This window comes from Homo sapiens, chromosome 8 (genome assembly GCF_000001405.40).
Source record: "Homo sapiens chromosome 8, GRCh38.p14 Primary Assembly".
NCBI classification, from domain to species: domain Eukaryota; kingdom Metazoa; phylum Chordata; class Mammalia; order Primates; family Hominidae; genus Homo; species Homo sapiens.
The window spans coordinates 127,599,938-127,611,445 of NC_000008.11; the positions used below are offsets into that span (position 1 = coordinate 127,599,938).

General features: G+C 43.3%; 1 annotated feature.

The window, feature by feature from the left end:
- Positions 8,768-9,363: an enhancer, noted in NCBI's record as "OCT4-NANOG hESC enhancer chr8:128620950-128621545 (GRCh37/hg19 assembly coordinates)". NCBI's record gives its function as "activates a minimal SCP1, AML or CMV promoter by ChIP-STARR-seq in naive H9 embryonic stem cells {active_cell/tissue: H9 hESC(naive)}" and the evidence as "EXISTENCE:reporter gene assay evidence [ECO:0000049][PMID:30033119]".

Sequence of the window (11,508 nt, forward strand, 5' to 3'; positions counted from 1 at the left end):
GGGTGGGAGTCAGGCTTAAGTCCACTGCAACCTGCAACTTCAAGAGATACACACTCTGCTCTCTGAGTGGTCTTGCTGAAACCCTTCTAGGTAGACTCCAATGAGGGACATGTTCCCTGCCCCTACCCACTGAGCTCAGTGGAGAAGCAACCTCTACCAGGAAGTCCTCTTTCTTCTAAATCATCTTGCCTCCTGACACTTTCCTATCCTGGTGTAGGTGAGGCACTTAAGAGGGAGCTAACTACTCTTGACCACTGACTTTTCACAAGTTCTTCTGGGTGGTCAATCTCACAACACATTTTGGTGTGTGATAATCTGTTGTCATAGGATCTCAGCCAAAACATCCATGTTAACTTCCTTTCATATAATTCTTTACTACTCTGCAACTTTCCCAAGAGTGAAATCCCTGTTTTTTTTTGTTTTTTTTCACGTTAATAGCCCAGCCTCAGATACAGTATTCAAGAGTCATTGCTTGAATGAATGAATAAACTAATAGATACTGTAGGATTATATAAAGCAGGGTCCTCAAAATTAAAGATATCAGCTTGACTGAAGAAGAGAGTTTGTTTAGGGAAGGATCAAGATCTAAATAGGAAGGAAGGGCTTAGATAATTGAGGCAGAAAAAAACTTTATGGACCATGAAGCATAGTGGAAAAAAAGATAGGTTTCAGGGACAGATGGATCCAGGTGAACACTCAGCTCTGCCATTAAAGTTGACTCTGGACCAGGAGCAAGGTTCTTAACCTCTCTGGCACTCAGCATTCTCACTGTAAAATAAATATCATCAATGCTATCTCATAAGATTGATATAAAGTTTAATTGAGACAGTGTATGTAAAACACCTGGAATAGGGCTTATCACACAGTGGGTGGCTGACAGAGGGTAATAATGACTTTAAATCATATTTGAGTACATCTTGTGGGTCAGGGACTGTGTTAAATGCTTTATTTAATTATTTTATTTAATTTTTACACCAAGCCAATGAGACAGGGAGCAAGTTAGCCTGATTTTAGCACAAAGAATTAAAGTTAAATGCCATGCTCAAAGTCACAGAGCTGGTGACAGGCAAACCTGGGATCTGGACTCATATCTCTCTTCCTACAGAGCCTGCTGTATGTTACCCTGACATCTCATGCATCTTTAATGAAGGATCATTGTGTAGCTGGCATTAAGAGACTCTAGGAAAGAAATGGTAGCAGATATCAAGGAGCAACATGCTTCAGTCTCACGCTAAAAGCAATTATAATTTTCTTTTCTTAATTAAAATCAAATCTGTGATTTGAAGAATAAAATATTTGCTGGAAATTTCTCAGGAAATAAAACATGTTAGTATGATTGGAGTACACACTGTGGATCGTGACCCACAGTGAGGGTCAGCTGACAGAATGTGTGAAAACGCTTGGAAACCTATAAAGTTCTTCAATAAAGGATGGCAGTAGGTTTTCAGAGGACTTGGGAGAGCATGATTACTCTCTTGAAGGCTTGAATCCATCTCTCCCCACCAAGGTCTTCCTCCCACTAAAAGAACAAGAATGATGCAGAGACAATGAAGAGTCAAGAGAGGTGAGAATACTGTGGGAATGCACCTCACCAACTTTGAAAGGCCCAAATCCCAAAGGAATGACCATCACTCTTGGAAAGACAGAGAAGGCCTGGGGTAGACTTTAGGGTGATTCGGGGCTTGTTTTATCTGACACTGGGACCAAAGCAAATGTGACCTGAATATTCAACCCTAAGAAGATTCCAGGACACATTATTAACAAGTAGATTGTGTACACCTAGGAATATAAATGGTGAGTATCAAGCCATCCAGGTCAAATTCATGAGGTCTGATGGATAGGCAAATGCAGGGCTGGGACACCTTTGGGGCAGCCTAGAAGGAGAGTTTCCCAAGGTCCTGTGGAGCCAGTGGGGCAGGGGAACACCTCAAATACCTCCACTGGAGCCTCGGAGCTTTAAATAGACCCATATCCTACTTCAGTAAGAACAAAGACAATAACAGCAATAATATCTGCTGTGTAGGTGCACTCAGTGTGCCAGGCACTGTGCAGAGCATTTTCTACACATGACCCAACTTAACCCCTAACACAACCCTGTAGAGTAGATATTTGAATCACCAGCATAACAAAAATGTGGAAAACGAGACACAGAAGGATGTGGTGACTTACTCAAGACCACACAGCCCCCTTGGTAAAATTTGAATTTGAATTCAGGTCTATGCAATTTCTAAATCAATGTTCATGATAACTATGGTATCTTAAACATATTAGGAGGTTGAGAGCTAAACTGGAGGCCAAGATGAAGATATAAACAGAGAATGGAAAGGTGTGAGCAGCAAGCAAAAAAGGAAACAGATACTGGGCTCTGAAAGTGGAGTGCCCCACCTCTATTTCTTGTTAGCTCTATTCCTTCAGTAAGTTATGCATGTCCTCAGTTTTTTCATCTATAAAATGGGGATATTAATAGCAGCTACCTTCTACGATTGTCGTAAGGATGTGATGAGATAATAACCCGCAAAGCCCTTAGAACAGTGTCTGGCATGTAAGAAGTGCCATTTTAGCTACAATTACTCTGAAGTGTGGGTGGGCTAGGCTGTGTGTTTGAAACTATCTTCCTGACTGCCAAGACCAGATGGTTTCCCTAGGAGCTTCTTCAAGAAGCTACAGTGAACTGGAAGAAACTAACATTGGTTTACCCACAGCAAGGCTTGGCAAATATATGGATTTCCCTTTCTTAATAGGGATTCAAACTGGGAATGTTCTAGGCATAACAGATGGTGATGTCAACAAAGCCATTAAGGTCTCCTGTGATTTTTTTTCCACATTTATTGGTTTATTTTAAAGGATATTACAAAGGATACAGATGAAGAGATTCATATGGTGGGATACTGGGGAAGGGGTGTGGAGTTTCCATGGCCTCCCTGGGCAAGCCACCCTCCGGGAACCTCCATGCATTCAGCTATCCAGAAGTTCTCTGAATCTTCTTCTCTTGGGTTTTTATAGAGGTTTCACTACTTAAGCATGATTGATTAAACCACTGGACATTGATGATCAACTTGACCTTCAGCCCCTCTTTCCTCCCCAGAGGTTGGGGAGTGAGCTGAAAGTCCCCACCCTCTAATCTTGCCTTGGTCTTTTGGGTGACCAACCTCACCCTGAAACTATCAGACAAAAGACACACAAAAGATAGCAGTGTGGAGAACCCAGGGATTTTAAGAGATCTGAGCCAGGAACCATGGATGGAAACCAATATATCATAACACCACAGTCCACTCCCTGGTTTTCGACATGGATCCCTTGCATCAAAAGAATATACATAATCAGTAATAATTAGTCCACTCCATCATATTGCATGAATATCTTCCCAGGGTGAGGCCACTCAGGTTTGCAGGCTTCCTTTTGATCTTGTCAGGTTCTACAAGCAGGAGAGGCCTGGGTAAATACACAGCTTCACCCTCTCAGGCACCTTGAATCACTGAGCTAAGAGACAGTGTCATCTCTTGCTCTGAAATTCTTTTGAGTAGTTAACATAATATTGAATTTCCCTCAATTAAGAACCCATGGTTTCATTTCTTTACTCTCAGTTGCCATTTCTCCTTCTCTCCATGAATACCCAAACTTTTTCACCTTTGGAATGGACATTAGAATGGTCACTGTGCTGATCTAGATTATAGGCAGCAATACAAGTCTACCAAGTACGTCCTTCTCAGTCCACTTCCATTCCGATAGGATGAGGTTATATAAGTGCAGAATTAGTGAACTATTTTTACCACCAGGCACAGTAGCTGCATTTATTCTTAGACCAGTTTTGCTAGATGAAGGCACACGCCCATCAGGCCCTTGGAATTCTGATATAAGGTTTAAAAACATAGGCCGGGCGTGGTGGCTTATGCCTGTAATCCCAACACTTTGAGAGGCTGAGGCGGGCAGATTGCCTGAACTCAGGAGTTTGAGACCACCCTGGGAAACATGGTCAAGCCCCATCTCTACAAAAATGTAAAAAAATTAGCCGGGCATGGTGGCGCGCACCTGTAGTCCCAGCTGCTCGGAAGGCTGCTGCACGGGAATTGCTTGAGCCTGGGAATTGGAGGTTGCAGTGAGCTGAGATTGTGCCACTGCACTCCAGCTTGGGCTACAAAGTGAGATTCCATCAAAAAAAAAAAGACATTGTCATTGTTACACTTTCTTATTTAGAAGCCATCCCTGCTTCTGGTACTTGTACTTGCAGCCCTGGTCCTAGCAGCACTGTGTCAGGTAGCAGAGAAGACACAATTTTTGGATGATTTGGAGAAGAACAAAATTATAGCCAGGTGCAGTGGCTCACGCCTGTAATCCCAGCACTTTGGGATGCCAAGGTGGGTGAATCACCTGAGGTCAGGAGTTTGAGACCAGCTTGGCCAACGTGGTGAAACCCCATCTCTACTAAAAATACAAAAATTAGCCCGGCATGATGGTGCATGACTGTAATCCCAGCTACTCGGGAGGCTGGAGACACAAGAATCCCTTGAATTCGGGAGGCAGAGGTTGCAGTGAGCTGAGATCACGTCATTGCATCATTGCACTCCAGCCTCGGTGACAGAGCAAGACTCCATCTCAAAAAAAAAAAGAAAAGAAAAGAAAAGAAAAAACTATAGTTGTTATACCAGCATACTCTCTTGACAAAAACTGTATAGCCATACCATCATCCTCCCCAGCTCCTCTTCAACCAGAAAAACAGAAAAAAATCTAGTGGGGACACTCTAGTCCCACTCATGCTTTTATCTCCAGCATCCCCAGCCCTTCATGCTTTTATCTCCCCGTTTTAGACAACCAATGTTTCCATTGCCCAGGCTACTTCTCTATTAAACGATTACTCTCAGGAGGATATCTCTCTGCCCATTTTTGGACATTATGGACTATACAGTGTGCTCCTTGGTCTGAAGAAATGATGGTCAGCTGTCCAAGTTGTCCAAAGCCATGCTACACTTCTCTGTTTTTTATGGTACCATGAGCATTTACATCTTCCACCAAGTAAGCAAAGCCCACTCCACAGTCAGTGTCTGTGCCTGACAAGGCCCATTTGTCACCCCCAGGGCTGCTAGCACAAGTCTCACTTCCTAGCTATGTTCAGGGCCTTCGCACCAGAGAATCTGCCCGATAGCCATTAGCAATCTCTATCTCTTTTCTTTGCATACAAAACAGCTTTTACTGACATTTTGTGCCTGAGAGGTGCAAGAGGACTGTGTCTAGATTCAGTCTATCTCTGCACTGCCCACATATCCACTCATCTTATGGTCCCAGGTGGCCACCTCAAAGAAGCACGCAGGAATATCTGCTTGTTGATGCTAGTCACCTTCTGAACTTGGAAAGGGGTTCTTCTGACGGGCACTGACTTGTTCTACGTTAATGCCCCTCTCAGATTTCCATAGGGCCATGCTCCATATGGGCATTTCTTTAATTGGACAGGTTTCCATTGACCTTTTCCCTGACCATGGAGCCAGGTCATTGCTCACTGCTAGTAAGTCAATAAAAACCCAAATACAGGCCAGGTGCTGTGGCTCACGCCTGTAATCCCAACACTGGGAAGTCAAGGTGGGTGGATCACTTGAGGTTAGGAGTTCGAGAGCAGCCTTGCCAACTCGGTGAAACCCCGTCTCTACTAAAAATATAAAAATTAGCTGGTCATGGTGGTGCCTGCCTATAATTCCAGCTACTCAGGAGGCTGAGGCAGGAGAACTACTTGAACTCGGGAGGCAGAAGTTGCAGTGACCTGAGATCGTGCCACTGTACTCCAGCCTGGGCAACAGAGTGAGACTTCATCTCAAAAAAAAAAAAAAAAAACAAAAACAGAGGCTTCTACTATTGTTTAATTCTTCCATGACTTTTAGGAAAACAGCATGCAATTCAGCCCACTGAGCTGATCTGCCTTTACCTTCTTTGATCAAAATAACAGCCTTCCAAACAGGATGCTGTCCATTCACCTTGGAGCTGCCATCTGTAAACCACGCAGCTCCTTGTTGGTCAGTCAGGAGCTGTTCATACTGTACTGTCCAAGTGTTGATAGAATCTGGCAGCACCTCCCACAGTTCCAGAGCCAGTCCTGGGAGAGAAACGAGGCTTCGTGCTTGTGAGTATCTCCTCCTTGCATTCCCCTAGTTGCATGATCTTGTATAAACCATTTCTATTTTATTAGGAAATACTCTGGGCACTTGCATCCCCATTAGAGCATTTTTCTGACATCACCCAAGATATCATGGGTATTTCAGATTTCAAAGTCATTTCATGTCAGATGCAGCGATGCATAGGACAAGGTGTGGGGGAAGGAGCACGAAACCCCTTCCTTTTCTTAAAAGCCCTTTCCATGTCAATACATATCAAGCATAAAGTAACTGTTTAAAAAGAAAAGAAAAAGGCTAGAGGATGGGCTCCTTGGGGGTGATTAAATGAGATATTTCTGGATATATACAGCCATCAGAGAGAGTTGCACTAGGTGGCCTCACAGAAAAAATTCAAATCCAAGACCCCATCTTTCTTTGCCATGGTGACATGAGCTTTTCCCAAAAGGCAGCAACAATAAGTACTGAAATTTGCAAGGCTTTTTCTAGTTTACTTTTCTCTTTCATATACATCATCTAAAACAGCACTCTGCAAACTTGGCCTAATGCAAAGAGGAATCTTTTCTTTGATTTGCTTGCTTATTTACTCATTTAACAGATTCCTTTTACATGCCTATTATGTCCCAGTCACTGTTCCAGGTGCAGAGGATACAACTGTTTAAAAATATAAATTATCCTCTACCACTGCCCCTGGCTCCTCCTCCTTGGGGAGGTCCCCAAGGGGGTATAGGACCAAAGGAGAGGCTGAGGATCCTACGGTGCTCTCACCTGAGGCAGGAAGGGTTGCCTCCAAAAATATATATATAAATTAAAAATGCAGTTCCTGCATAATAGGGTTTATAATATAGGAACTAAAGGTATATAATAAATACATATGTCAGGCTGTGTTAACCTCCAAGAAAAAAAAAAAAAGCAAAGCATCAGGAAAAGAGAAGGATCTTTCAGTTGGGAGTTCACAGGAAGTCTTTCTCAGAGAGGGACATGTGAACAGAAATACGAACAAAGTTCGAAATAAGCCACCGAGGGAAAGAGCATTCCAGGCAGAGGAAACAGTAAATGCAAGGCCCTGAGGAATGGCAGTGGAGCCCTGGAGCCCTGTGGCTGGAGCAGAGTGAGAGCAGGGCAGACGCTGAGGGATCTGGTCAGAAGTGCAGCTGACAATCAGAGGCCTCTGCTTTGAGTTGTTGTTTAATTTTTTTTTTTAAAGGAGAATCAGAAGTCTATGTCAAATTTACAGACCACTATGAGAACTTCATTTATTTATTTATTTATTTATTTATTTGAGACAGGGTCTCACTCTGTTGCCCAGGCTGGGGTGTAGTGGCACGATCTCGGCTCATTGCAACCTCTGCCTCTCAGGTTCAAGCGATTCTTCTGCCTCAGCTTCCCAAGTAGCTGGGACTACAGGCGTGCACCAACACCATGCCTGGGTAATACTTGTATTTTTTGGTAGAGATGTTTCACCATGTTGGCCAGGTTGGTCTCAAACTCCTGACCTCTGCCCGCCTTGGCCTCCCAAAGTACTAGGGTTGATTACATACATGAGCGACTGCACCTGGTCTAGAAATTTAGTTTTTACTCTGAGTGAGATGAAAAGCCACTGAGAGGTTTGGAGCTAAGGAGTGAAATAATCTAACCTAGCATATGATTTTAAAATATCACCAGGAGAATAGGCCACAAAGGGACACAAATGGAAGCAGAAAGAAGAGTCCGCTGCAATAGATGAGGTGGGAGATGAAGTAGCTTAGAACAGCATGGTGGCAGTGGAAGTGGTGAGAAGTAGACAGATTGTTAATGTATTTTGAAGGTAGATCCATCAGGACAGGAGAGGACAGGAGTCAGGGATGCCTCTAGACTTTCAGGTTGCTCACTTGGAAGAAAGCAGTAGTCATTTTTTAAGAAAGAAAGATTGGGGTAGGAGTAATCTTGGGAGATACCAGCAGTTCCGTTTTGAACATGTTAAGCTTGAGATGCCTACTAAGCTGGTAGTTGAATGTAAGAGTCTGGAGTATAGAGGAAAGATTCAGGTTTGAGAGAACAATTGAGGAGTCGTTAGCATGTAAATGGAAGACTCATCGAACAGATGAAGAGATGCTAGTGAGGTGGAGGAGGGCAACAGAGAGTGAGGTTCTGGCTGCCAAGTGAAGAAATGATTCTACCAGGAAAGGATGACCAACTGGGTCATATAGTCAAGTGAGGCCACTTGAAGATGGAGGATGGAGCTGAGGATGTCAAATCAATGGCTGGATATAGCCACATGAAGGCCACTGGTGATCTGAATAGAAGGTGGTTTTAGGCTGGGCTTGGTAGCTCACACCTGTAATCTCAGCACTTTGGGAGGCTGAGGTGGGCGGATCACCTGAGGTCAGGAGTTCAAGACCAGCTTGGCCAACATGGCAAAACCCCATCTCTACTAAAAAAAATAATAATAACAAAAATTAGCCGGACGTGGTGACGAATGCCTGTAATCCCAGCTACTCGGGAGGCTGAGGTAGGAGAATCGCTTGAACCCAGGAGGTGGAGGTTGCAGTGAGCCGACATTATGCCATTGCACTCCAGCTTGGGCAACAAGAACGAAACTCCATCTCAAAAATAAATAAATAAATAAAAGAAGTTGGTTTCAGTAGAACAGTGTAGACCAAGTTCTGCTTAAAATGAGTTGATGGAGAACGGGAAGAGAGTAAATGGTGACAAGTCCAGACAATTCTTTCAAGAACTTTTCTGCAAAATTTGTTCTATAAACTTTTCTGTAGAGTTTGTAGAGAGATGGAGTGGTTGCTGGTGGGCATCTCAGATCAAGGACAAACTTCAGTTTTTCATTTTTCAAAGACAATAGTTGTAGAGAAGAAACATTAATTTCTGAAAACCAGAAATGATCTATTGATTGATCCATGCTGACTATTTAATTATCCAGGAGTCTATACTAATGAGACACTTCCCTAGATGTGACACACTCGACTGCCCACAGTTACAAAGACAAAAGAGGCCATCCATGTTGAAAGCACCCCATGCTGAGGTGGGCATAACACCAATTATCTACAATATTCCTAAAGAGGAAGCCAGGAGCCTTCCAAGTTTTTAATGGAGCAAATACATAGTACAAGGAAAACATAAAAATTAAATTGCTAGAAATTTGACCAAATCATTAGTTAAAAAAAAAAAAAAAAAATTCTTCTACTTAGCAATCTCCATTCCTAACCTGGAAAATGGTTGGAATCATTGAGTTTAAAAACATTTAAATTTGTAATCATTAACTCATTTAAGCCACATAATAACCCAGCAGTGATGTGGATTCCTGTTGCCCTTTGTCTACTGCTATGCAACAAACAGCCCCAAATGTAGGAGGGACAAGACAACTATTTCATTATGCTCATGGAATCTATGGGTTAGGACACTCAGGGCACAGTGTGGAAAGGTGCATCTCTGCTACACGATGTCAGTGCCTCAGGAGAGAAGGCACAAATGACTGGCAGCAACTTGCAGAGCAGGGTGCTGGAACCATCTGCAGGCTCATTCACTCATATGCCTGGCTTCTGTGCTGGGATGACCTAAAGGCTGTTGATCAAAGGCCTCTCCCGGATCCTTAGGGTAGTCGCCCTTTCTATATGCACCTCAGGGTTCCGAGAACAAGTGTTCCAGCAACAGAAACAGAAGCTGCATGGCTTTTTATGACCTCACTTCAGAAGTCCCAGTTTCATTTTTGGTGTACACTCTTGGTCAAAGCAGTCAGAATTCCACTTAAATTCAAAGGAAGGGGACCCAGAGCCCACCTCTCAAAAGTAATAGTGTCAAAGACTCCCAGCCATGTTTTAAAACTACCACACCCCATCTGGCAGAGGGAAGAAAATTCACACAAGGTGTTAAAATAAACACAATTATTAATAACAAGGTGGTTAAGTAACTTGCCCACGCCATACAGGTAGGTGGCAAAGGTGAAGTCTGGTTTCTTAACCACTGTACCCTTCTCCCTCCTGACCACCCTTGATATAATGGCTCTCCCACTCTTCTCCCCTGCAATACTTATCCTGGTTACACTGCTTTCTTTTCTCTATAGCACTGTTTACTTCTTGGTCATCAATCTCCCCCTCTACAATGGAAGTTTTGTGAAGACCAGGACTTCAGTTCATTCACTGTTATGTCCCTATCCTCTGGGACAATGTGTGGCGTGTAATCTATACTCTAAAAGAAAATTGTCAAATAAAAAATATATTTTCTTTTTATTTAGACTAATACCAAATATTGAGAAAAAAAACTATAATTCCTAAGACAGCCCTGGAGGTTGAGGCTGCAGTGAGCCGTGATTAATTGTACCACTGTATTCCAGCCTTGGCGACAGAGCAAGATCCTGTCTCAAAAAAATAAAAATTAAAAAGCCTCAACCTCCAGGTCTCAAGCCATCCTCAGCTTCCCAAGTAGCTGGGACTACAGGCACGTGCCACCATGCTCAGCTATTTTTTCACTTTTTTTTTTTTTTGTAGAGGTGTCTCCTTGTGTTACCCAGGCTGGTCTCAAACTCCTGAGCTCAAGGAGTTTGAGCCCCAGCCTCTCAAAGATAATCTGATGCTGAGATTACAAGCATGAGCCACAATGCCTGGCCTGAGATCAACCTTCCAAAATTAAGATCTGCTCAACTACAAACCAAGGTGAAAATTATAATCCCTACACATACTTTCAACTCTATCTCTACAGATTATTGGATTTGTCTCGAGGAGGCATTAGGTAGCTTTTGCTCTCACAACACTGGGAGGCCACATATTTGGTAGTTGTACATTTTTACTAGTGATATAGTAAAAATAAAAGCCACCAAAAGAAATAAATGCCTTTGCTAAACCCATTTTAGCCTTTCCAGGAGGCTGCTCAGGTTGCCCATCTTCACCTGCTCAGGTTGCTCATTTGCTGAGACCCCAATCTCTCCTCCCTCCCCTGCATCCAGCCCCAGCCCCTACTGTCTTCTCCTCTGGCCCAAGGCCCCAGTTGTCCCAAACTCCTTGCAGTTATTTTACTTGCAGACCTTTCCTGAAATGTCTTTCCCTCCACTCTTTCTTGTCATCCTCAAATTAAGCATGGCTCATGAAGTGGGGGCTGAATGGTACCCCCCAGAGATATGATATCCTAAGCCCTGGACCTGTGCATGTTACTTTATATGGTAAAGTTTTTGCAGATGGGATTAAATATTTTGAGAGGAACAGATTATTCTGGATTCTCTGGGTGGGCACTGGATGCCACTAGACGTATCCTTGTAAGAGAAGGGCAGAGGGACAATAGACACACAGAGGCAGAGACTGGAGGGATGTGGCCCCAGTCAAAAAAAAAAAATATGTCAGTAGCCCTCAGAAGCTAGAAGAGGCAAAGGAAGAATCCGCCCCTTGAGCCTCCAAAAAAGGCACAACTATAACAACACGTTGATGTTAGC